Genomic DNA, 24990 nt, shown 5'->3' on the forward strand with positions numbered 1-24990 from the left:
ACCAGAGTCCCCACCTTTCTGGAAGCTGCAGGGCTCTCCATCCAGGATCCAGAAGCATTGAAGGGGTAAGGCTCAAGGTTGAGGCCTCTGGCCATCGGTGCGCAAATGAGGGCAAAGTGTTTGGCTGGGGCAGGGGATTGGGAAGGGAAAATGAAGAGAGTTTAGGCCTCTGGCCAAAGAAGTTGGACAAGACTTTTGGGTGGGCACTAAACTCTCTTAGAAAAATTTTTTTTGAGATTATGTAATTCGTTTGGGGTGAGGTATGGGAGGTAAGGTGAAGAAACACCTCTTGCTACTGCTAGAGGCTTGCCCCCTTGCCCAGCTAAAATTAAGAAAGGGTGGGGAGGTTAACTGGGCATGGTAACACACGCCTGTAGTCCCAGCTACTTGGGAGGCTGAGGCAGGAGGACTGCCTGAGCCCAGGAGGTTAAGGCTTCAGTGAGCTGAGATCATGCCATAACACTCCAGGCTGGGCAACAGAGTGACACCGTCTTAAAAATAGAAAATAAAATAAAAATTAAAAGATAAAAAAAATTTTAAAAGAAAGAAAGAGGGAGAGTCTACTAGAAACTTGTGCAGCTAGCTTTGGGGAGGGCTGTGTTAAGCCTACACTGGGTATGACTGTTGTATACACTTATGCCTGGATACAAAACCACACCACATGCATTTCCTGACCCGTCTATACATATACGAACTACATGAACATTTGTACTCACATGCATATCACATACATACGCAGGCATCTGTGTGCACACACACACAAATATACACAGGTATCTAAGGAAATTTCCAGATGCGTACACACTCATGCAATCACACACAAAGAACTCTTTTATCTGTAATAATCTGTTTCTAAAAAGCTGCATTTAGAAGTATATTTCATAAACTAACATTCTTTTTTACATTGTATGTTTCATTGTAAGTCCATGTCTCCTAAAGAGACTAGGTGCTCCTAGGAAGGGCTGTGCCTCATTCATTCTGTACCCACAGAGACAAGTCCTGTGCCTGGAACTCAATAGACACCCATAAATGTTTGTTGAGCAAATGCATGAATGGATGATCTTTATAAAAAACCACAAGAGTCAACTGGGCGCGGTGGCTCACACCTGTAATTCCAGCACTTTGGGAAGCCAGGGTGGGTGGATCACCTAAGGTCAGGAGTTCGACACCAGCCTGGCCAATATGGTGAAACCCCTTCTCTACTAAAAATACAAAAATTAGCCAGGCATGGTGGGTGCCTGTAATCCCAGCTACTCAGGAGGCTGAGGCAGGAGATTCGCTTGAACCCAGAAGGCGGAGGTTGCAGTGAGCCAAGATCGCACCACTGCACTCCAGCCCGGGAAACAAGAATGAAACTTCGTCTCAAAAAAACAAACAAACAAAAAGACCCCATAAGATTATTTGATGTTGACATTCTCTAAATCGAGCTTAGTGACTAGCAGTCATGTTCTGAGCATGGGGTTGTTTAAGAGAGGACATCTGTGTGCATGCACCAGTGTGTGCCTCGTTTGTAAACAAGGGGACTCTTGTGAATGTGTCTGTGTTGAGATGTGTCTGCACATGCCTCTGTGAGTGAATATCAGTGTTTGGGTGAGCGTGTAAAAACACTCAAGTGGGGCGGTGGAGGGAGGGGGCTGCTAGGAGATACCCCCCAAGACATAGTCCCAGCTGGTAGGGAATTTGTGCATGTGATGAGAGCACTGAGTCTGCAAGTGTGGGGGTGGGAAGTGGAGTAAATCTGCGAGCCATTCCCACAACACTCTGGAGAGCCTGTCCCTCAGATCGCTGCCCTTCCTCGTGCCCACTTGCCAGGACCAGCCGCTGAAGGGATTCTCAGTCCCATCTGACTCCCCATGAGGCTCCTGGCTTTCCTGAGTCTGCTGGCCTTGGTGCTGCAGGAGACAGGGACAGCTTCTCTCCCAAGGAAGGAGAGGAAGAGGAGAGAGGAGCAGATGCCCAGGGAAGGCGATTCCTTTGAAGTTCTGCCTCTGCGGAATGATGTCCTGAACCCAGACAACTATGGTGAAGTCATTGACCTGAGCAACTATGAGGAGCTCACAGATTATGGGGACCAACTCCCCGAGGTGAGGGACACAGCAGACCAACTACATTCCCTGCATGACACTGGGAGTCAGAGGCCAGGGCCCTCCCATCTGCCCCAAAGTGCGGGTGTCTCCAGCCTCCACCTCTTTCTCTGTGAGGTGGAAATTCTTATCCCTCCATAGGGACTTGTCACTTAGATGATACTAAGAAACAGGACACAAACCTGGGACTTCTCCTTCTTCAAAACTCATACTTGCCTCCCCCTGCCAAAGCTATGTCTCACTGGGGGAGGGGTTCGCAATGTCCTCATCATATTCTCTAGGAAATAAAAGTGCCACATCCCCCATCTCTTTTCTGAAACTGTCCTCCAGTCTGAAGTTCTTTCCCAGGTCCTCTTGGCCTTCACTGCAGCAGCGTGGGGTGCAAGCCCAGAAGCCCCTACTCAATTGTGCGTGAGCCTGGTCGGTGTGGAGCAGGGGAAGAGTGCCGGCCTGGGAAATCGGGAGAGCAGGTTTCGTCTCTGCCTTGACCACCTGCTGGCTCTTTGATCCTCATCCCTCTCCTCTCTGGGCCCCAGTTTCTTCATCCATAGGATGGACATGCTGGACCTGATGCTCTGTCAGGTCCCCTTTTTGCACAGTCTTTCTGCTATCCTTCCCTCCTCCTCCTCCACAGTGACTCTTTGCTGGTTTGAAATCCATCACTGAGGTTCCCAGAGTCCAAAGTTAAGTCCCTTTTGTGCAAAAGCTGGGCTACTGTGTACTCTGTGCTACATCTCCAGGTTAAGGTGACTAGCCTCGCTCCTGCAACCAGCATCAGTCCCGCCAAGAGCACTACGGCTCCAGGGACACCCTCGTCAAACCCCACGATGACCAGACCTACTACAGCAGGGCTGCTACTGAGTTCCCAGCCCAACCATGGTAAGTGCACAGTCACATGGTCGCAATATCCCTAGGTCATAGGCCAAGCAGCTATGACCCAGCACCAGGGGGTACCAAAGTGGAACGTGGTTGGGGTTGGGGCATGGAGGGTCAGGGCTACCCTTACTAGCAGGGAGAGAAGGGGAAATAGCCACAGTAAGAACAGGAAAAAAGAAATCAAAGACTGGCACTGGCTGTCCCTAATACTTTTGCCTGAATGTACAAGTTGAGTAAGAAGCAAAGAAATGCAAGAACTCCCTTATGCCCTAGCAAAGCCACCCTGCCTTAATTAATAGCATGACGGGGGAAGCAGGTTGAGTGGTAATTAGATTACAGACAATTAAAAGCCTGTAGAGAAGAATAACTAACTTTGTGGCTGTCACTTGGCATGGGAGCAAATGAAGCAGTCACACTGCTTTTCAGCTTCAAAGTCCCTCCTCAGCAGCTCTCTTTCCTTCCCTGATGCCCTCCTGGAGGCTGCGGCTGGCATCCCTGGCAGTGAGGCCTCAGCAATCTGCTGGAAATCAGAAGTGGGCAGAGGAGGGGTGAAGTTCATTCTGGACCTGCTTGCCCGCGGTTTCCCTGTTCTCTTCTCGGGATGTTTGCCTTGGGTGGACCTGGGGTATTGGGGCATTGGCAGGAAAACCATTCAGTCAGGAATCCATGACCTCTCAGAGCTACAGTCTCAGGCTTAAAGAGGCCATAAAGGGCCTCAGCTGAATCCACCATTCAAAGCCTCAGGATAAGAAAGATGCTGGGGCCCCTCTGCTCTACCCACTCCTCCTGGTCACTGCTGGCAGAGAAGAGCTCCTTAATCTGGGGGCTGTGTCACTGCTACCAGAGTTATTCCTTGAGTTGAGCTAAACTGGTCTCTCAGTAATCTCTGTGCCTTGTGATAGCAAGTGACAGAAACCACCTGCGCTATTCAGTTGTATGATCCAATAAAGTCTCCCCAACTACTTGGGGTGGCTGACCTGGCCTAACCTCATTACCCGTGGGTACAGAGACAGGGTCATGGACAGAACAGGAGAGGGCTGCTTCCCAAAGAAAAATTGGCATGCTGATGCCATAAGAAGGGGAAGTGGTTGCTGGGTAGGCACTGTACTCCACCTTGGTTCTATTGTGCTTCTTGGAGCCACACAGAACATGTCTAATTTCTCTTCCCCAAGGCAGATGGCAGAGCCAGCAACCACTGGCCATCCCACTTAATTCTGGCTTTACTTTTTGGGACCAGAGAGGAATCCTGTGGAAAAGAGACCAAGGGATTTCCTAGAAACACCCACATAGGCCCAGGAAAATGTACACAGAACCAGGGTCTGCTGAAAGTATAAATGGGCTTGGGCTGGGTAGTAACTGAGGATGGACCTGCCTCTCTGGGGTAGAGGACAGAGTGACAGGGGAGCAGACAACAGCACCGTGTACATGGTGCCCGTCAGTTCTGGGCAGCAACCCATAGGCTATCAAAAAGGCACAGATGGCCATGGTTCAGACACTCCCTGGGGCGAGGGCCATTGGCCCCAGAGGCTAAAGAGATCTCCCTTTGTTCTGTCTTCCACCTGGGCCAGGTCTGCCCACCTGCCTGGTCTGCGTGTGCCTCGGTTCCTCTGTGTATTGCGATGACATTGACCTAGAGGACATTCCTCCTCTTCCTCGGAGGACTGCCTACCTGTATGCACGCTTCAACCGCATCAGCCGTATCAGGGCCGAAGACTTCAAAGGGCTGAGTATGTAATGCCCTGGGAAAAGAGGAGTGGGGGCAGGCATATGCAGCCACCCTGCCACTAGGACAGTCACCAACACTGTGTTAGTGCCCCCCGTGTTAGCTCTTTCCTGTTGGCTCTCAGTCCCTCCAGCTGTCAAAGGGAAATAGCCCGAAGTCTCTAGAAGTCCCTTCCTTGAAGTATTTAGATGGTGGAAGGGACCTGTTTTTATTTGTTCTCCAAAAACGTCTGGGAAGCTGGGAGGGGAAGGTATGATCTGCCAGCATCTTCAGGATGTCCCAGCAGTGACAGCTGTGTGATCAGCTGGCCTCTGGGCAGGACAGTCTTAAATCTACTCTCCATGGCACTGATGCTGTTTACAGGGTTGTTTGTGTGCTTTTAGCTTCTTTATGCCTTATGCCCTGCTTGAGACAGGAGACCTGGGTTCTGATCCAAATTCTACCACTAATTACCCAGAGCCTTTCCAGGCCTCAGTGCCCTTTTGTTTAGACTCACAAGTGGAGGTGAGGTGGATCCAGGGATTCCTGGGCCTGTTGGTTCTCGCTTTCAAGAGGCTTCTTCTAAAGGATGCAAGATGGACGGCCACTGCACAGGACAAAACTCCAGGGAGGGGCACTGAGGCATCCGAGGGCTTTTCCAAGGAGTCCTGGTTTATGTTATTTCCTCTGGTTTGGGCCTAGTGCAGGTGGAGAGCTGGTTAGAATCCCCTCATCTTGAGAGGGATGGAGCAAGGTGTGGAGACAGCTCCAACCTGGACAAGGAAAGATAGTGTGTTCTGGTTTCTCTCTTTGTTCTCCCCTAACCTCTCTCAGCAAAGTTGAAGAGGATTGACCTCTCCAACAACCTCATTTCCTCCATCGATAATGATGCCTTCCGCCTGCTACATGCCCTCCAGGACCTCATCCTCCCAGAGAACCAGTTGGAAGCTCTGCCCGTGCTGCCCAGTGGCATTGAGTTCCTGGATGTCCGCCTAAATCGGCTCCAGAGCTCGGGGATACAGCCTGCAGCCTTCAGGGTGAGTCAAGGCCTTAGATCCACTATCTATCACCTCCACCACCCACCTCTACCACCACCCACCTCCACCACCTACCTCCACCACTCACCTCCACCACCACCCACCTCCACCTCTACCACCCACCTCCACCATCACCCACCTCTACCACCACCCACTTCCACACCTACCACCCACCTACCACCGCCACCACCACCACCTACCTCCACCACCACCACCTCCACCTACCACCACCACCACCACCCACCTCCACCACCTACCACTGCCACCACCACCACCTACCTCCACCACCACCACCCACCTCCACCTCCACCACCCACCTCCACCACCACCACCACCACCACCACCACCACCACCACCCACCTCCACCACCACCTACCACCCACCTCCACACACCACCACCCACCTCCACACACCACCACCCACCTCCACCTCCACCACCCACCTCCACCACCACCACCCACCTCCACCTCTACCACCCACCTCCACCTCTATCACCACCCACCTCCACCTCTGCCACCTCTACCACCCACCTGCACCTCCACCTCCACCACCATCACCCGCCTCCACTGCCACCACCACCACCCACCTCCACTCCTACCACCCATATCCACCACCACCACCCACCTGCACTACCCACCTGTACCACCCACCTGCACTCCCACCATGCACCTCCATCACCACCACCCACTGTTTTCATCCTTTTAAATTTGCTATTTATTGATTCTTTCAGTTGCAAGAAACTGATTCTGACCCAAGAAAAGGCCATCCCAAGAACCTCCATGAATGGAAACAGTACTATCAGGCCTCATGGGCCTGTTACTGGCTGAGCATCCCTAACCTGAAATCCAGAATCCAAAAGCCTCCAATAAGCATTTCTTTTGAGCACTTTGTTGATGCTCAAAAAGTTTTGGGTTTTGGAGCATTTTGGATTTTGGATATTCAGATTTGGGATACTCAACCTGTACTGGGAATGGGGGTTCAGAAGTCCAGGTGGACAACTCTCTCTCCCTCTTTGGGACACACGGCCTCTTGTCTTGACTTCTTTCTGTGCATCTGCTCAATTCACCTGTTTGCTCACCAGCATCCTCTGCACACTCACAGGTTCTGCTCCCTGAAAACATACACGTGAGTTTGGCTTGGAATAGTGCTGATTCTGGCCCTAATTCTACGTATCCTTTTATTTCCAAAACCCTTCAGTAAGTGACTGATGAATCATTGTCTTTCTATGATCAAATACTCAAGAGAGACTTTTGTTGTTGTTGTTTTGAGACAGATCTGGCTCTGTCGCCCAGGCTGGAATGCAGTGTGGCATGATCTCGGCTCACTGCAACCTCTGCCTCCCGTGTTCAAGCAATTCTCCTGCCTCGGCCTCCTGAGTAGCTGGGATTACAGGCATGCACCACCATGCCCGGCTAGTTTTTGTATTTTTAGTAGAGATGGGGTTTCACCATGTTGGCCAGGCTGGTCTCGAACTCCTGACCTCAGGTGATCTGCCCACCTTGGCCTCCCGAAGAGCTGGGATGGCAAGCATGAGCCACTGTGCCTGTCCAAGAGAGACTATTTGATTGGTCATTGGCTGGCCAGTTTTGATGGGAAGGGCTAAGTTGTATGACACAAATATGCCCACTGGGGCAGCCCATTCAATAGGGCTAGGAAGAGCCCCGGGTGTGTTCGCCCATGTGCTCTCTCTCTTTCTCTCTCTGTCTCTCAAGTAGTAGAATCTTTTACGCAATCTAATTCCTATTTAGAAGCATCAAATAAACCAAATTAGACTTGCATTTTTGAAATAGGATGAGAGCACAGAGGCACACCTGCTTGCTCTCTTGCCCTGCCCTCCCCAGTGACTTCCACCCTCTCAGCCTTCTCCTGTCTGCAGTGGTCTTTGAGGGAGTTTTACAGAACAGCGTCACTACCACTGTTGTGGTGGAAGAGCACTAGACTGGGAATCAGAAGCCGGCCACGTGACCCCGGGCCTCAGTTTTTCGGTCTCAAAGAACGGGATTGCATGATCCCTGAAGTTCCCCACTGCTCAGCCTCAGCAACATGCCAGCTGTCTCCATATTAGGAGGCGCTGCTTTGCCTTGACTCAGAGCTGTTTTCTCAGCCCAGGATAAGGCCTGGGCTTTGGAGCCACAGAGACCTGGGTTTGTGCGAGAGTCTCCTGACCTCTCTGACATTGTTTTCTCATCTGCAAAATGAGGGTAATAATACCTGCTTGACACAGCTGCTGGAGGGTTAAATAAGATAGCATTTTACAAAGAGAACAGGAGGGTTAGATACGCATAGTAGATGCTCCATAAATGGTAACTATCATTTTTATTTGCTCCCTGAGCCCTGCTGAAGGCTTGTCTCTTCCCAAACGCTTCTCTGATTAACACTGTCTAATTCTGAGAGCACGGTCCCATGCACACACTGTGTACCTCTCTGTGCCTGAGGTTCTCATTCTGCTGGTCTGGCTGTCTCCCGAGTGTCTGCTCTGTACCTGCTCCTCACCCAGAGCATGGACGATAAACAGAGCATGGAGGATGGAAGTTAGATACCAGGGAGCAGGTCATGCCAGTGAGAGGCATGAGGCTTAGGCAGCTGTGGGGTCTCCTTTATTGGAGGGTTTATTGGAGACATTGATTGGGAGGTCTTGTTTAGATAATTGTCCATGGCCCCAGGTTTAGCATTTGGAGACTTGTCATTGGGGAAAGTCCTTTCTGATAGCAGAGAAGTTGAGGCAAAGCGGAAATGTCCCCTGGTCCTCCCTTCTACCCTGTCCCTGCCCCTCCCCTGCACTACCCAGTGTCATTACCAGCTGATTAGCTCTTTCCTACTTCAGTGGCTGGCACCTCAATGGTAGCAGCTTTCCTCCTGCATCCAGTTGGAGTTAGTGTCTGTAAGATCCTTAAAGACCTGGGCAACCCCTGTGGCACCCAGCACAGAGCTTGGCGCATGGCTGAGGCTAAGTGAGCCCTGAGTGAACAAATGGGGCCACCTGTCTCTGGTCTCATAGCCCTCCTCACTGCCAGGGTCCAACAGGACCCACCAGCCTCCTACACTCTTTGCTTTCTCCACAGGCAATGGAGAAGCTGCAGTTCCTTTACCTGTCAGACAACCTGCTGGATTCTATCCCGGGGCCTTTGCCCCTGAGCCTGCGCTCTGTACACCTGCAGGTAAGGAGCACCACCCAGAGCAAGGGTGATAAACAGCGTGGAGGATGGAAGTTAGATACCAGGAGCAGGTCGTGGCAGAGAGAGGCATGAGGCTTAGGCAGCTGTGGGGTCTCCTTGATTGGAGGGTTTATTGGAGACAAGGATTGGGAGGTCTTGTCTAAATAGTTGTCCATGACCCCAGTTTGATTTTCTCCATTTTTTCTTTTTAAAACACTTTCTCTCCCTCCACCATTTTATTTTATCTCACCCAACTGCTTTTCCTTCTCTCTTTTTCCTACCCTCTGTCTCTTTCCTTCCCTTCAGTCCTTCCCTCCTTCCTCTCTCCCCTTCTCTTCCTCTTCATCTGTGCCCTCTCTCTCCATCCATCCCCCCTGGGGCTCCTCTTCTCACCCTTGTTGTGTGGCTTTGGCCCTAGATGCTTCAGTTTCTCCAGTTGCACCAGAGCAGGCAGAGCTGGTAGGGACAGCTGATGTGAGCCTTTGGTGCTGCTTAAGGGGCAGAGCCTCTTGGTGAGGCTCAGCTGGTATGTGTTCTTCCCAGAATAACCTGATAGAGACCATGCAGAGAGACGTCTTCTGTGACCCCGAGGAGCACAAACACACCCGCAGGCAGCTGGAAGACATCCGCCTGGATGGCAACCCCATCAACCTCAGCCTCTTCCCCAGCGCCTACTTCTGCCTGCCTCGGCTCCCCATCGGCCGCTTCACGTAGCTCGGAGCCCTTCCACTCCTCCCAGGTAAGAACCCTCCAAGGACCATGCAGGCATGGGCCTCCAGCCATAAAGCCCAATTCCTTATCTTTAAACGGTGATCTTTAGCCCAGGCATTAATCAACCTCTCGATCCCTTGCAAATATCACACACATGCACACGCATGCATACACACACACACTCATGTACTGAAATGTTTTTCAGTAGCCAAATTTGCATTTCTCCATCTTCTTTCCTTGACACTTATGGCTCCTGGCTCAGAAAATAGCAGTGTCTGCAGTGGAGCTCTTTTCCATATTCCCCATCTCTTGCACCCACACAGAATGCCAAGAAAGCTGTGGGAGAGGAAGAGGGGGAGGAGGAAGAGAAGGAAGAAGTGGGGAAGAGGAGAGCAGTGATGTGCTGGAGCCAGCTCTTACTACTTGCAGGAACCGATTACTAAATTTTCCAGAATTTTGCAAGTCAGTTGTTAAACACAGCCATTATGAAAAATTAAATTATATAAACTCACAATTAAATATATTATATTGAAAACAAATGTAATAATTATTCAAAAATCATCATTTTCAATTAGTTTACTATATTTCACTATTAATCGTGCCCTTGAAGTTATTTCTGTCCATGGTGTCTGTATGGGGGAAACTCTAGATAATGGTGTGCTACTGGGCATCTCTTCCAGCTCCTCATTCAGTGACATCATATCGGTGGTTTAAAATGGGCCATGGTAGGGGTATTTACACTACAGAAATTGGTAAACACTACAAATTGGGATTTCCTTTTTTGAGAGCTGACTGTAAAATGTTTGCCTGCATACCACTGAGGAGAAAGAATAGCTACTTAAACCAGCTCCCCCTACCTGCACACCATCCTACTGGGGCTGAGGTAGGTAAGATTTCTATAGGGCATTCCTTCATTTCCTGCTCTTCTGAGGCCAGGGCCTCCTGTTAGATTTGGAGGGAGCCATTCATAAGGATGGAGAACTGACACGAATCTTCACCCAGATGCGCTTCTTGTAGCACTTACCTACTCCCTGGCTCGCTGGCCAGTCTCTTGAGCGTGGTTGGCTCAGCCAGCTGGGCTGGTTCCTGGCTACTGGGGTTTCCATCCTTCCCATTCGCTCCTACATGTTCGACCACCAGAGGGCAGCCTTGTGCAAAGATAAATAAAAATAGCAATTACTCACCTTCTGCCTTTTGGATCCTGGGCAGGGGCTACTATGCTGGAAGGATGGGAGGAAGGGCAACTATCATGTAGCCAGTGATTTGTTCCTTGAGTTAGAAGGGAGAGGAGGAGATGCCACCCTTCTCCTGACCGTTATAAGGAGGCTTTGGGCAAGGGGTATGTGATGGACGGGCTCTTGGCCTCAGGCCTCATGCTAAGGCATGAGAGAGGGATGAGGCAGGGAATTCACTTACTCACGCAGGAGGATCTTATGGAGCACCCACTGCTACGTGGTGATAAGATGGTACGCAACAGAAACATATTCCTTTTCCTCAGAGAGCTTAGAATTTAGTGCAAAAGACAGGTGTGAAACAAATAAGCACACCAATAACCATGCTATTCAACTCATAAAAGTGCTGTAAAGGGTATGTAGAGAATGCTATGAATGCTTACAAGAGGAGGACCCAACTTAGGGGTCCAGAAGATCTTGCACAACTGATGTTTAAGCTGAAACCCAAAGGAGTGGGAGTTAGCCAGGCAATGAGTTGCCAAGGCAACTATTCAAGGTCCCTGGTGGTCCCCGAGTCTGGAGGGACAGGTGTTTCTTGTGGGCCACGTGGAAAGGAATCCATGTATCTGCCTCCCCCCACCTCACTGTGCACTTGGATCCTCACGGCGGTCCTGTAAACAGCCAAGTCAGAAATTATTATTCACATTCTTCAGATGGAGAGATGGAGAACTAGAGACCAATCACTGACCCCAGTTCACACGGGTGACTCAGGGTTGGACCAGGACTCAACACACAGGCTACAGACTGGCAGTGGGAAGTCTTGAAGGTGGTGGGAGGTGACTTCATGCCGTCATGGTACCTACCCTCACTCCCAGGGAATCTAGGATTCCAGCGCACCTGGCCCCAGGGAAGGACGGGGAAGGCAGTGAGCCAAGGGCCCCTTGACTTTCAGAGCAGCAGAGCTGTCACTGGCCCTTCCTCTCCTTTGCCTCCTCTTTCTGTCTTCCAAGAGTTTGTTACAGCGGAATCTCTCTCTCTGTGTGTGTCTCTCTCTCTCTCAGAGTGTGTGTGTGTGTGTGTGTTTTCTGTCTCTCTCTCCCTTTCTCTGTTTCATCCACCAATCCTATCCCCTTCCATATCCAATATCCCGTTCCATATCCTGCTTTATTGGATTATGACAAGGCCTAGGCATGCAACAGCTGAAAGCCTAAAGTTCTCCAAATGCAAGAGATCCTGGATTGAGGAATCCAATTTTCTTTTTTCTTTTTTTTTTTTTTTTGAGATGGAGTTTCACTCTTGTTGCCCAGGGGGGAGTGCAATGGCGTGATCTTGGCTCACCACAACCTCTGCCTCCCGGATTCAAGCAATTCTCCTGCCTCAGCCTCCTGAGTAGCTGGGATTACAGGCATGCGCCACCACACCTGGCTAATTTTGTACTTTAAGTAGAGACAGGGTTTCTCCATGTTGGTCAGGCTGGTCTCGAACTCCTGACCTCGGGTGATCTGCCCGCCTCGGCCTCCCGAAGTGTTGGAATTACAGGTGTGAGCCACCACTCCTGGCCGAGGAATCCAATTTTTTCAAAAATCTAATTAAAAAAAAAAAAGGTTTTCCAGAACTGGGGCTTTTGGGTACTGGAAGCCACATCATTCCCACATGCCTCTCGGTTACTCTTTGCTGAATACAGAAAGTCACCTGGCTCCTGCTCTATTGTGGGACAGGAGATCTAACAATCCCTGGACTCCTGGAGTTTGCCAGACCTATAATAGAAGCTTTTCTGTGCATCAACTCATTTAATTCCAGCAAAAACCCTAGTGAGTAGGGATGCTCATCTTCAGACTGCAGATGAAGAAACAGGCTTCTGAAAGGGGAGAGGCCCAAACCCAAACAGCAAGAGAGTGGCAGAGCTAGGATTCAATCCGGGGTCCATCCAGCCAGAGTCTGAAGTCCTGCTCTCTGCCACACTCCAATGCAGACACCATTTTCAAGTTCCAATTAAAGGAGGCCAGCTCCAGAGAGTTTCTTTCCCCAGGCCATTGCTGCTCCGGGAGGGGTTCCCCAAGGGCCGCTGCCTCTGCAGCTGTCTCTTGGCTAATCCCCCATTTTTGGCTAGGGAAGCCCAAGGAATAGAAAGAATGCCCTTGTTGTCTGTCTCCCTGAAGAAATTCTAAACAGAGCATCTGTCCCTCTGCACCAGGGAGGGAAGGAGGAAGAGAGAGATGGGGAGAGACAGAGAGAGAGAAACCCCACAGCTGTTCCTTCTCGATCTTGATGTGAACAGCTAGGCCTCCTGTTTCTCAGGTACCTAAAGGGGTTAGGGTTGGGCAACTGGCAGGGAAGGCAGAGAGCACCTCTTTAGCCAGAGTGAGGCCCTCCTGTCTTGTAGAATGGTAAAGATGGAGAGAATGACACAGAGCAGATGCAAGCCAGCCCTGAGAGAGTACAAAGGAAGGGAGTGAGAGGAGGGGCTGTGGGGTCCAGCCAGGCACGGCAGCTAGCTTGAGGGCCTCATGCCAGCCGGCAGTCTAGGTTTGCATCACATCCACCTCCTCCAACACCAGACTTTCCTAACCTCACTCATCCAGGTCCTTTGTGGCCCAGCAGCAACTCATATTTGACCTTGGCAAGGGCACTTGCTCTGGGCGGCACCCTGGTGACTATTCTGCCAGCTCTGTGTGAAGGGGAGTGCCTCCCTCCTCTGGGGCACCCTGTGGCCTTCAGGAGGGTCTTGCCCTAACCTGTCCTATGAGTATCAGCGGGAGGAGGTCAAGGGGAAGAGGCCAGGGCCCCTCCTCTCCGTGAGAGAAAGGATGAGTTTGCAATGACCTCCCCCTCTGCCTGCCCCATTCTCAGCTCCAGGGTCCTGTTTTTCCAAAGGTTACCCAGCAAGGCCTAGGGCCAGAGGAGGCTCGTGGAGAAGGGAGGGTGGGAGGGGCTGCTGGAGAGGCTGGAGCTAAGTCTGTTTTAGGAGCCAAGGCCATTTCCCCACCCTGACCTTGCCTGGACTCCCTTCCTGCTTCCTTTTCTCTTTTGTCTCTTCCCTGGGAATAGTAATCTCTTACATTTCTGCTGTCAGTTTGCACTTCAGCAAGCTCTTTTACATATGGGACCTAATTTGGCAGTCCTAACAACTCTGTGAGGAAGGAATTATTATCCCTGCTTTTACTGATGAAAATGAGAGGCTAAGTACTTTGTCCCAGAGAAAGATGACTTAACATAAACAATCTATAACAGAAAAAGAAAGATGGGCATGGGGGTGGAGCTGCAGTGACAGCCATCACTTCTTGGGAATTCTTGTCAGAGAAATGGGAAATCCCATCTCCAGCTCCTGGAGCAGAGGATGGGTGCCCCTACCACGTCCCCCCAAAATGCTTTGAAAAGCAAGGACTCGGGAGGGCATCACCCAGGCTAGAAAAAGGGGGGCTGCCTATGGAGCTTGAGTCCAGGGCCTGCCCCCAGCAGGTTCAAGGCCTGTATCCTTAGGAAGCACATGAGGTAATGAAGGTCTCAGCTCAGGAGAACCTTGGGGCTCAAAGACACACGGCCCCCCATCTCTGCCGCACCCCTACATGCCTGTGTCTGTGTCCTCCTTCCTTCTGGCCAGGACAGAGGCAGACAGACCAGACGGGGAGGTGGCCCCGGCTCTCCCCACCCCCTCCCTGTCTAGCTGCCTCTCAGCTTTCTCCTCCCACCTCACCTGCCCCTCCCCTCTCCCCCACACTAGACACCAGCTCAATTTTGTCTCTCCTCTCTCTCAAGGTCATCTCTTGGACCAGCGGGCATCACATTCTCCAGCAGCCGCCATCTCACACGCCTCCCTCCTGTGGCCGCCGGCAGCATGGACAAAGGTCTCCATGCAGGGGGAGGAGGCCTGCTTCTTTCCCCACAGCTCTCACGTCTCCCTTCTCCCTGCGGGTGACAAAGAAGCCCAAGGACCACCTCCTTCCTGCCTCATTGTAATAAAATTCCCCACACTGAGGCCTTCTTGTCTTCAACCTGGCCTGTCCAGCCCTTCCAGATATGGCCAAACCCATGGCCTGGATGGGCTTGTGTACTTCCTTTCAAATGAGCCCACACAGAACGCCCTGCTCTCCCCTTCCTCCCCTCTGCACTCCTTCTGCCTCCTTTTTCTCTATTCTCCTTCTGTGCTCAGGCACCACAGCAAATAGCTTTTTGTTTCCTCCTGGCACTACCAGTCCCAGCCCTGCCTTCAGGAATTCTTTTCTCTCTCTCTCTCTTTTTTTAAAAGACTGGGTCTCACTAGGTTACCTAGGCTGGTTTTGAACTCTTGGGCTCAAATGTTCACCTGCCTTAGCCTCCTGAGTTCCTGGGATTACAGATGTGTGCCACTGTACCGACTCCAGAATTATTTTCTTTTGTGTCTAACACACAGTTCAGACACAGGAGGGAGTGGAAGTGTTTCTTGTTATGGCATCTGTAGAGGAACTGTGATGCAAGGGAGTGAGCACTGGAATGAGAATCTGAAGACCTGAGTTTGACTACCCTATATCCTGATCACACCAGCACCTCACTCTGTCCTGGCCCCTTGGAGTTCCCTCACTCCAAATCTGTTGCTCAAAGCATATCCAAGCCCAAGGGGTGTGGTGCCTATCCCTATCTTATTACATTTCTAGTCTAAGAACAAAGACCCAACCCTCTCCTACTGTTCCCAGTAGCACAGACTACCATTGACAAAGAGGTATCAAATGGTAAAAGGAGAAAAGGAAGGAAGTACAGAAAATACAGACACACAATCAGTCTAGTCTCACAAGTTGAGCTTTCTGAGCCCAAATCAACTATACCATGGCTTTAAAGCTTGCTTAGCTGCAGGCCTTCCTGACCCTTCTCTAGTCCATGCAGAAGAGAGAATAATCCAAGCTTTTCAGGCCCTTTCTGACCCATCCTGAAACCAAAGGTAACGACCTTTGAATTACACGTTGTCCATAATCAGTGTCCCCCAAGGATCACTGGGCAGTCTTAGGAGAGGTGCTTCCTCCCACAGAGAGGCCCCCTGCCTCCCAGGACAGGCTCCTGGAGCCCAACACCTGTGAGAGCCGCAGCACCTCTCTTGGAGATCTAAGAAATCCCTGAAGGAGGCTCGGCACAGTGGCTCACGTCTGTAATCCCAGCACTTTGGGAGGCCGAGCAGACAGATCACAAGGTCAGGAGTTCGAGACCAGTCTGACCAACATGGTGAAACCCCGTCTCTACTAAAAATACAAAAAATAGCCGGGTGTGGTGCTGTGCGCTATAGTCCCAGCTACTCAGGAGGCTGAGGCAGGAGAATTGCTTGAACCTGGGAGGTGGAGGTTGCAGTAAGCTGAGATTGCACCACTGCACTCCAGCCTGGTGACAGAGCGAGACTGTGTCTCAAAAAAAAACAAAAAAACAAAAAAAAAAAAGAAAGAAATCCCTGAAGGAGCCATGTCCTGGGAGACAGGCAACATGGCAGGTTTTAACCCTGCGGACATACAGTGGAAGATGAGCGCCTCTGCCCTTGAGGGAGTGTTGGAGGTGGAAGTGGGGGCATGAGAAACGGGGTGGGCAGAGAGGAGCAGGACCTCCCCCAGTGCATGAGGTCCTTGGTTCTAAATAATCCTGAAAAATACTAGCCCAGAAAGATGCAAACGGCCCCGATGCTGGGAATGTTCTGCAAAATAGGAAGGTGTTAAGCAGTTACCCAGATGTTTCAAGCTAAAGCATCCTGCAGAGGAGGAGGAAAAAAAAAAGTCATCTTTTGGGACTCAAGTCTTCCAAATCAGCTGTGTGCTTGGGTTGTAATCACCTTGCCAATGTAGATGCTGCTCCTTTGAAGAAGTAATCTGAAAATAGGGTCCTTCTTAATGTCAGCAGATCAGTACATTATTCCTGCAGAGATGATAGGAAATGAAGACAGGAAGCTGTCAGAAAGTCAATATTTCAAAGGACCAAAGAGTCCTCAGGGTCCTTTGGTCCATGCACCTGTGTCTAGGCAGGGCTTTACCTAGTGCAGATGGTGATCTTCTCTGGTTTACGCCAGGGCCAGAGGTGCAGGCTGCAGAAAGCACCTGCCACCATCTGTAGGACATCATGCTAGCCCTACACATTACACACATCATCACGTTTCATCTCCATCGTAGCCTGATGAGGTGGGCGCTACCCCAATTTTATAGAAGGCAGACTTTGGGAGGCCGAGGCGGGCAGATCACCTAAGCTCAGGAGTTCGAGACCAGCCTGGCCAACATGGTGAAACCCTGTCTCTACTAAAAATACAAATATTAGGCAGGTGTAGTGGTGGGCACCTGTAATCCCAGCTACTCAGAAGGCTGAGGCAGGAGAATTGCTTGAACCCGGAAGGCGGAGCTTGTGGTGAGCCCAGATCACGCCACTGCACTCCAGCCTGGGCGACAGAGTGAGACTCCATATCAAAAAAAAAAAAAAAAAAAAAAAAAAGAAGGCAGAGAGGTTAACTTTTGGTCCAAGGTCACACAGTGAGGAGTAAGAGGCAGACTAGATATTCAAATTTGACCTGAGTGCAAAGCCTGCTGGCCCTCTGGCCTTAGAACTGCGTGTCTGACACACCTGCTGAATCCATCTTGCCTCACTCACACTTCCTTGCTCATAGAACATACCCAATAAATCTTATGCCAAGCCAGCTCGCTCCATGGCACGGTGGGGAGGCAGACCTGCTACAGAAATCTGACCATGTAAATGGCTCCTTTTCTACCCCTCCTCTCCTGACGTTCCTAGTGGTGGCCCCTGCACACCTGGCTTTCTCCTCTAAGCCTCACCAGTCTGGATCTCCCTTCCCACACCCCCTCCCTTCCTATCTATTGTCTCTGAGCCCAACTTCTTGGCTCCTGTGCTCCTATTCATGGGATTTCTTTCCGCTTCTGTAACCCTGAGTACAATAGGCTCCTTCCTGCTTATTGGTAAACAGAGTCACAACAAGCCCGAGTGTGTTCTAGGCTAGGCTTGAGCTCTTGATCGAGACTCTCTCTCAGACTTTTGTTCCAGTTTTTTCTTTTTTTTTCTAATGGGGACATGAACTCCTAGAGAGGTGGCCTGGCACGCCCCTGCCTCTCTGCTGCTCCTCTCCATTCTAGAGCATTACAGTTTGAGAGGGTACAGCACCAAACTTACTGCCTCATTACTTCCATGAAGTCCAGGAACTGCCCACTTACCTCCTGTCTGGAATACCGGAAGAGAAGTGGGAAGGGGAAAGTGTTTGTTTGTTTGTTGCCATCACCAAGCAAGTTCCCACCACCCCACCCCCCAGGGGTGGGTGGTGTTGTCCAAGTAACTTCTATGACAGCCTGCAAAGAAGGAGAAATAGACAAGTTGGGGACATCAACACCCCAGAAGCAAGAGCACACACCCCACCCGGAACAGAGCAGGCAGCCACAGCTCCTACATCTCAGGGGCTGATGGGGATGTCCTAACTCTTAACCAAGGAGGTCCCCGGTCTCCCGTAAATCCTGAGTCTCAGTTTCCTGAGCAGGGTAGAGAAGGAACCCTTGAGTGTGCAAGGCCCCATCGACAAAGAGATTTACACAGATCCAGGCCCTGACTCAATCTTACCCACCTTTAGTGTCCTTCATTCATTTTGTTTTAATGATTCTTTATTAAGTGCTGAGCACCAGGGTCAGCATAGTAATAAAGACAGACAAGGTCCCTGGCCTCAGGGAGACAGGCAGGAACAGAATAAACAAATAATAACAGATAAATGATACAATTCAGACAGGGACAGGTGCTAGATGACAACAAAAGGAAGTGAACATGGCAGTGACTGGTAGTGGAGGCCAGTGACAGGAGATAGGGCAGTCAAGGAAGGCCTCCTGGGGGTAGTGATGGTTGACCTGAGACCTCTGTGATGAGAAGGCAGCAGCCATGCAAAATGTGAGGGGAACGTTTTCCAGGCAGTGGGGACAGAAGGCAAAAAGCACAAAGGAGAGAGGAGCCCATGTGAGCAGCAGAGAAGGCTTGGGGTGCGGTCAGAGGCAGCAGGGTCCTGGATAGGAAAGCCTCCGAGGATTCTATTGTGAGTGCACGGGATCCTTCTCTGAGAAACCCACACCCCTTGCCGCCTTCTCTGCCTGTTAGTCATGCTGAAAACACGAGGCAGGAGGGAAAGGCAGCATGATTCACAGACTGGAGGGTGACAGTGACCAGAGCAAGTTTAACCTTTTAAAGAGGAAGGATCTGTTGCTTGGCTACCAGGCAACAAGGTAACGAGTGGAAATGGGGAACAGAAATGGAGAAAGGAGACCTAGAAGAGGGGCGGTGGAGAAAGGGCAGGAACCCCTCATGGGCTGGAGCCTGCAGAGGGAGGGAGAAAGTGAGCAGCTTCCAGGAGGTGTGGGGCTTTGAAGAAAGGGAACAGAGAGCATTTGAAGGAAGTGTGGGTGTAATGCAGGCCACCGTCTCCAGAAGACTCAGGCAGGTGCTTCACTGTGTCTTAAAGCTTTTAGAGTCAGATACTGGGTTCTTTAGGGTGTGTCTCCAGCTTGAAGTGTGCCTCACAGTAGACGCAGGAAGGCCTTGTTTGATTTGGGTTACAGGAGAAGCAGAGGCCCCTGTTTGGGGCTGCACTGTGGAGACTGGAATTTGGGTAGAAGGGGCCACTGCTCCCGCTTGGATACTAACCAGCTGTGTGGCCTCAGGCATGTCTGCTTTCTTCTATCCCCTCCTCTGGCCAAGAGAAGAGAAGATTCAGTGATCTCCAAGGTGCAGTCTGCAGCTCCGTGATCTCACATGTTCTTTTGTTTTCTTAACAGGAAGGCTACTCAGAGAGGGGTCCCCACAAGGGATGAGGGACAAGTTGCCTAACCCTGTGGCAGACGGCTCTGCTTCTCTTCATGGTAAGAGAGGAAAGTTACAGGGGTATGCCCCCTGGCTCCCCGGCATCCACACGCTGCTCAGACCCAGCCACCCCAAAGACACCACCCCTCCCTCAGGGACGGGGACTCCCAGGAGCCTCCCTCAGTTTCCAACTTTAGGTGCCAGGAATGGGGCTGGGTTTCCCCCACCCTCCAGAAAGGTAGAGAAAGGAGCCAAGTGACCCTGTAAACACGTCCCCAAGGAAGAAGGCTGCGACTTCGGCGGATGAAGCAGCCCCCTGGAAAAAGAAGGGCCCCAGGTGACTGTGGCCCTGAGAGCCAAGAGTTCAGCAGCTCTGTCCCTCTTCATGCTGTGGCTCAGGGCAGAGCCAAGCCCCAGGTCCTGCCCGGCCCTCTCCTTCCCCATCTCCTTCCCTCTAGCTTGGCGGCGGGGGGGCCTGTGGATAGCTTCTGAAACACACTGCCTGCTTTCTCATGCAGGATAAATGCCTCCCTCCAGAACCTGCCCAGCTTTTCCACCGCATTAGTAATCAGCGCACAGAACAAGCGCTTTCTCTCCCTCTCCTCCCCCGCCTCAGTCTCTCTCTCTCTTTTTTTCTCTCCCCCAGCCCCCGCTTCCTTTACCTACTCCTGCCTCCTCCCCACCTATCAGAGTCACTGCCACCTCCCGGGAAGCTGAGAGGGTTTATCATCAAATCAGGCTTTGTCATAAAGAAAACAGATTTATTTTCCTCGCTTTGAGAAGGTGCTGACAGGAGCAGCGAGGGAAGGGGTGTTTTGTATATTGAAAGCCTTTCTCCCCCTGTGGCTAAATCTCGCGCTATTTTCTAATTTACCTCAAATGCTGCTCCTCCAGCCTGCCTCTCCATACGCCCACGCTTTCAACCCCTACCTGTGAGCCTCTGCCCACCGGACCGGCTCACTTCTAGTCATTCCTTCATTCAATGTATTTCCCTTGTTCAGGATGTAGAGGCCTTTCTTACATGCCAGGGACTCCAGGTGCTGGAGATGTGAGACATACAGCAGGGCAAGGAGGTGGGGAGGGAGTTGCACAGGTACAGGAATAGAACATTAAAATACCAAGCAGTGGCCTGGAGCGGTGGCTCACGCCTGTAATCCCAGCACTTTGGGAGGCCAAGGCAGGTGGATTGCCTGAGGTCAGGAGTTTGAGACCAGCCTGGCCAACATGGTGAAACCCCGTCTCTACTAAAAATACAAAAATTAGCTGGGCATGGTGGCAAGCACCTGTAATCCCAGCTACTCAGAAGGCTGAGGTGGAAGAATCGCTTGAACCTGGAGAGGCAGAGGTTGCAGTGAGCCGAGAATACACCACTGCACTCCAGCCTGGGCAACAGAGCGAGACTCTGTCTCAAAAAATAAAATAAAATAAAAATAAAGCAGTAAGTGGGGACAGAGGCATGCACATGGCCAATGGCAGCACCAATGTGGAGCAGCCAGTTCATGAGGAGGCAAAGACCAAAGAAGGATCCTGAAAGCAGGGACGCTGGACCAGGACACCTAGGACTGGTGGAAGCTCCTGGGCATAGGGTGGGGGAAGGAAGGCACTCGGGGACCCTCAACAGAGGGAGCACTGTGCAGGCAGCAGCTGGCGCATGTGGCGTGAGCAGAGGTGGGGGTGGAGAGGGCAGGAGAGGCGGCTTCAGGGGGCAGAGCATGAAAGGAGCTCCTGCTGGAGTTTCATGGAGGGGTGATTGGTCAGAAGGCTCAGGTGGAGATTTGGGAAGTTCTGTGAAAGGTGGCTGTGACTGATGGGGACAAGCCTGGAGTCTGAGGAATTGGTGAGGAGGCTGATGCATGTAGATTAGAGGAAGATGTGAGTACTGTGTGAGAACAGAGGTAGCAGAGTTGGATGGGAGAAGGGTTCGGAGATGTCCAAGGAGCCATTCAGGGTAAGAGCTGAAAATCATTCCACAGAGGTAGGACTCTTTGGCAGAGGGAACAGCTGAATCCAGGGGAGGGCATGAGGGGGCTACCTGAGCATGTGGGCATGTGGCAGGGGAGAAAGGTGGAGGTGGGGCTGGGCAGAGGGAACACTGCTTGGGAGAGCCCCTGCCAGGGACAGGCCTGGGAATGCAAGCAGAGTGGGGTGGGGCAGCAGAAGGAGAGGCCAGCGACCCCAAAGGAAGGAAGAAGTGGGGGTAAAGGAGGAAAGAGTTGGGGCAATCCTTGCTCAGAGCACAGTGAAATGCTGTTTGCTGGGGGGAGGAAGTTAGTCCCTGTGGCCACTTTGTGCACCGTCTGGCCTCACTGCTGCCTTCATAGACTCCTGGAGCCACTCTTCATTCTTCGTAAGACTAGGTGACCGCATGATACTGAGCACCTAAGTGTGGCTGATACTAGCCATGGAAGAGGAGCAGCCCTTATGCTCAGGGGTCCCGGTTGATTAGGGCGGGGGTGCACATCAACCCCATCCATTAAACAAAGCAACCGACAAGTAACATCAGTACAGGAAGGCACCTAATATGAAATGAGCGAACGCTAAAGGGATGCCAGAGAGAAGACGCCAACAAAGAAGGAAGGCAGGGATACCCTCTCTGGCTCTGGAGCCTTGGGACTGGCGGATGCGACATCCATAATTCATAGCCCATCAATCCTGGAGGGTCCAGCGCTTTGACCCCTTTGGAAACGGCCCTCTTCTCTGACAGCTGAGCCCTTCCCCTTGGAGGCCTAGGGCAGAAAGGTTTCTCTGCAAGACATACGCTCGTGCCCTGCAGCCAGCATGATGGATGAGGAGGCCAGAGCTGCTGGAGCCAGTGGGGCTGAGCAGGGAGAGAAATATGATGCAAAGCAATTTTAAAAGGAGGTTCTTAAGGGCTGGCTGGGGGTGGGGCAGTTTGGTCCCTCTCTCAGCCATCTATCTCACCTGTCTGTCTCTCCAACTAGGTCCTCAGTTCTGTGGCACAGATGACAGGTTGGGGACAGCAGAGAGGGAAAGGTGAAAGATCAACAGTCCGTGAGATCTTCTCTCTTCTCTCTTCAGGGCTATGGATCTGGAAAGCTCCTGGGTGCATTGAGGAGTAGCTCACCTAGCAGCCAAGACCTATTCCCTGCCCCAGTGCCCCAGTGCCCCAGAAACAGGCCAAGCCCCAGACTCTCCTGGCATAGATACCGGCTCTGGTCCAGCCTCACACCATCAGGTATGGGAGACGCTGGGACCAGCAGCTAGCAGAGGGAAAATGACATATCCTAGGATTCAATCCAATCAGGTTTCCATCCCAGGGACCAAGGTAGAATAGAACAGCAGCCATTCTCTCTGGGAGCCGAACCCTGCAATTGAAGCTGCCTGGCAGGCTCGGCAGCCTGTAGGTGTGACCGGTAAGGCCTCAGCCCACTCTTTCCCCAGCCCTTGAATTCCATTTGTCCAGGCCTCCAGGCTGTACGGCACCCCTGCCATGTGCACATAAGACAGCAGGGAAGCTGACAGGCGACCACTGTCCTCCCACTCCCCATCAGCTGCTAGGTGAGTGGGGAGCAAAGAAACAGAAAGTCATGGGAACCACCCTCCCTTGCTAAGCAACAAATGTGCTAAGATGCTGAGCCAGGGGAGGGGGGACTGGAGCTGGGGGCAGCTGGTATTATTGGTCTCACCTGCCCAACAGACAGAAAATGGCTACATTATTGGTTGGGTAATTGAACTGCCTCTCTTTCCAGAGGTGAGCATGGGGCAGTCAGAATTACAGAGCATCTCTAAGCAGAGGCCTCCACTGCCTGTAGTTCCCTCCCTCCTAGGTATGGGTCCTGGGGAGGTTATACTTGGGGGGCAGTAACTGTAGGCAATAATGCTAACAGTGACAGACATGGTGCTCGGGACAGGAAGGGAGCCTTGGGCTGGGGTGGGCTGGAAGATTCCTCGGAGGAGGCAGCCGGTGAACTGACACTGCCCCTCCTCATTCGCTTAATGAGCCTGCCCTCAGGCCAGGCAGCCATGGAGGGCGTGCCCACACTGACAGCTGCCTAAGCACAAGCTTGTGCTTGGCAGGAACTGGCCTTGCCCACAGTAAGTGTGCAGTACAAATTTGTAGGAAGAATAAAAGGCTGCGGCAGCGAGTGTGTTTCTGAAAGTGAGAAGCTGGGAGACAGCTCTGCTGCTGGCTCTCTCCCACTCCTTCTCTCAGAGGCGGCTTCTTCTTCCTGATTCCTCCCCCTCCTGACCCCCAGGTCCTATGCAAGTATGGGAAATCCTCTGGGTACCCCAGGGAAAGAACAGGGGCCCTCCCTTGGGGCTCTTGCACCCAGCATGGCTGGTGGTGGTCAGAGAAGCCAGAAGGATGAAGCTGCCCTGGGCGCACACAGAATAGCATGTTCTGCTTTCCAGCCCACCCCCTCTCGGGGGCACAGAGCGTCACTGCCACCCTGTCTGTTCCTCAGAAAGCTCCAGAGAGTCCAGGCATGGTGGCTTACACCTGTAATCCCAGCACTTTGGGAGGCCAAGGCTGGAGGATGGCTTGAGCCCAGGAGTTTGAGGCCAACCTGGGCAACATAGTGAGACCTCATCTTTACAAAAAATAAAAATAAAAAATCAGCCAGGCATGGTGATGCAAGCCTGTAGTCCCAGCTACTCAGGAGGCTGAAGTAGGAGGATCACTTGAGGCCAGGAGGTCGAGGCCGTAGCGAGCTGTGATCATGCTGCTGCACTCCAGCCTGGGCAACACAGCAAGACCCTGTCTCAAAGCACACACAAAATAATAACAGAAAGAAAGCTCCAGAGGCTCCCTGTACCCCACCTCCCACTCTCCACTCTGCCCCACCCTGCTCTGCACCCCGTACCTGAAGGATTGACTTCTAAGGCTGCACCAACCAGGCCTTTGGTAGGGTCAGTTATGGAGACCTGACTGTGAGGATGAAAGGCTGTGGATTGCTCTCCACTCACTTACACACCCTGCTGGGCCTGGGGTGACCGTGGTTCTCCCCTGTGAAGGCCACGCTTCTGTGGGGCAGCCCCTCCTCCAGCCGTGCGCTCTCCAGGTCCCAAATGACTCTGCTCTGCTGCCTTCAAGGTGCTCTGCACTCCCTCGCCAGCTCCCCTTAGCCCAGCCCTGTTACATTCGCCATCTCTTCTGCTGGACTTCCACTAATACACACCTCGCACTTGCTCCCCTGACCAGGAAGAGAAAATAGGGAGAAAAGATGCTTTAGACTGCACTTCCTCCTTAAACAAGGCCTGGTCTGGTTAGTGCATGCAGATGGACCTGGGTTTAAATCTTAGTTCTGCCACTAGGTAAGTTATTGTTCTCCTGTTTTACTTTCTCCATCTGCAAAATGGAAATACTATCCTACTCAGGGCTGTCATGAGGATCGGATTAAATAATGTGCACACACATAGTGCTTACCACTATTTGATACTTAGAGCTCCACAAACAGAAGCTATTGTCCTGCTGTAAGAGAAGTATGACCTGCCCGAAGGTCTCCCACTTTG

General features: G+C 51.7%; 1 protein-coding gene and 2 long non-coding RNA genes across 6 annotated transcripts in view, besides 8 other annotated features; 2 read left to right on the forward strand and 1 right to left on the reverse strand.

Annotated features, from left to right (window-relative positions):
- On the forward strand, positions 1–14797 carry OPTC (opticin). The gene is made up of 8 exons (NM_014359.4): positions 1–65; positions 1813–2084; positions 2825–2963; positions 4529–4687; positions 5497–5699; positions 8762–8857; positions 9398–9593; positions 14494–14797. Exons 2-7 carry the CDS (start codon positions 1854–1856, stop codon positions 9566–9568), a joined length of 999 nt encoding a protein of 332 aa, NP_055174.1. The 5' UTR covers positions 1–65; positions 1813–1853; the 3' UTR covers positions 9569–9593; positions 14494–14797.
- The window catches only part of LOC105371688 (uncharacterized), a 15727-nt gene continuing 256 nt past the window's right edge, over positions 9520–24990 (reverse strand). The window contains exons 2-5 of one of the 4 annotated variants that reach the window (XR_007066807.1): positions 19360–24671; positions 17898–18029; positions 10590–16602; positions 9520–9901 (exon numbers count right to left, since the gene is read on the reverse strand). This is a non-coding gene — a long non-coding RNA (uncharacterized LOC105371688). Of the gene's footprint in view, positions 9902–10126; positions 16603–17897; positions 18030–19359; positions 24672–24990 lie in introns of those variants that run through there. The other 3 variants (XR_922442.3, XR_007066808.1, XR_007066806.1) reach the window with 3 other exon arrangements.
- Positions 10556–10731: a silencer, noted in NCBI's record as "fragment chr1:203473836-203474011 (GRCh37/hg19 assembly coordinates)". NCBI's record gives its function as "represses an EF-1alpha promoter that drives an FKBP-Casp9 reporter gene in an ReSE screen in K562 erythroleukemia cells {active_cell/tissue: K562}" and the evidence as "EXISTENCE:reporter gene assay evidence [ECO:0000049][PMID:32094911]".
- Positions 17598–18338: an enhancer, noted in NCBI's record as "H3K27ac hESC enhancer chr1:203480878-203481618 (GRCh37/hg19 assembly coordinates)". NCBI's record gives its function as "activates a minimal SCP1, AML or CMV promoter by ChIP-STARR-seq in primed H9 embryonic stem cells {active_cell/tissue: H9 hESC(primed)}" and the evidence as "EXISTENCE:reporter gene assay evidence [ECO:0000049][PMID:30033119]".
- Positions 18326–19525: an enhancer, noted in NCBI's record as "P300/CBP strongly-dependent group 1 enhancer chr1:203481606-203482805 (GRCh37/hg19 assembly coordinates)". NCBI's record gives its function as "activates an origin of replication core promoter dependent on BRD2, BRD4, P300/CBP, MED14 and CDK7 cofactors, with strong dependence on P300/CBP, by STARR-seq in HCT116 cells {active_cell/tissue: HCT116}" and the evidence as "EXISTENCE:reporter gene assay evidence [ECO:0000049][PMID:35650434]".
- LOC124904488 (uncharacterized) overlaps positions 18745–24990 on the forward strand; it is a 19430-nt gene continuing 13184 nt past the window's right edge. Inside the window, exons 1-2 of the long non-coding RNA XR_007066809.1 lie at positions 18745–18941; positions 19491–19574. This is a non-coding gene — a long non-coding RNA (uncharacterized LOC124904488). The remainder of the gene's footprint in view (positions 18942–19490; positions 19575–24990) is intronic.
- Positions 18863–18922: an enhancer, noted in NCBI's record as "active region_2352". NCBI's record gives its function as "activates an Ori minimal core promoter by ATAC-STARR-seq in GM12878 lymphoblastoid cells {active_cell/tissue: GM12878}" and the evidence as "EXISTENCE:reporter gene assay evidence [ECO:0000049][PMID:35858748]".
- Positions 19073–19122: an enhancer, noted in NCBI's record as "active region_2353". NCBI's record gives its function as "activates an Ori minimal core promoter by ATAC-STARR-seq in GM12878 lymphoblastoid cells {active_cell/tissue: GM12878}" and the evidence as "EXISTENCE:reporter gene assay evidence [ECO:0000049][PMID:35858748]".
- Positions 22999–23830: an enhancer, noted in NCBI's record as "H3K27ac-H3K4me1 hESC enhancer chr1:203486279-203487110 (GRCh37/hg19 assembly coordinates)". NCBI's record gives its function as "activates a minimal SCP1, AML or CMV promoter by ChIP-STARR-seq in naive H9 embryonic stem cells {active_cell/tissue: H9 hESC(naive)}" and the evidence as "EXISTENCE:reporter gene assay evidence [ECO:0000049][PMID:30033119]".
- Positions 23309–23603: a silencer, noted in NCBI's record as "tiled region #9714; K562 Repressive non-DNase unmatched - State 21:Repr". NCBI's record gives its function as "represses a minimal TATA promoter and a strong SV40 promoter by Sharpr-MPRA in K562 cells {active_cell/tissue: K562}" and the evidence as "EXISTENCE:reporter gene assay evidence [ECO:0000049][PMID:27701403]".
- Positions 24663–24990: part of an enhancer, noted in NCBI's record as "OCT4-NANOG-H3K27ac-H3K4me1 hESC enhancer chr1:203487943-203488774 (GRCh37/hg19 assembly coordinates)", that runs on past the window's edge. NCBI's record gives its function as "activates a minimal SCP1, AML or CMV promoter by ChIP-STARR-seq in naive and primed H9 embryonic stem cells {active_cell/tissue: H9 hESC(naive and primed)}" and the evidence as "EXISTENCE:reporter gene assay evidence [ECO:0000049][PMID:30033119]".

This window comes from Homo sapiens, chromosome 1 (assembly GCF_000001405.40).
Source record: "Homo sapiens chromosome 1, GRCh38.p14 Primary Assembly".
Taxonomy (NCBI): Eukaryota; Metazoa; Chordata; class Mammalia; order Primates; family Hominidae; genus Homo; species Homo sapiens.

Bases quoted from the DNA above. Each gene is read 5' to 3' on its own strand.
- OPTC (NM_014359.4), top strand. From the start codon at position 1,854: ATGAGGCTCCTGGCTTTCCTGAGTCTGCTGGCCTTGGTGCTGCAGGAG. The intron at 2,964-4,528 runs GTAAGTGCACAG...CACCTGGGCCAG, and splicing joins GAGTTCCCAGCCCAACCATG to GTCTGCCCACCTGCCTGGTC. The intron at 8,858-9,397 runs GTAAGGAGCACC...TGTTCTTCCCAG, and splicing joins TGCGCTCTGTACACCTGCAG to AATAACCTGATAGAGACCAT.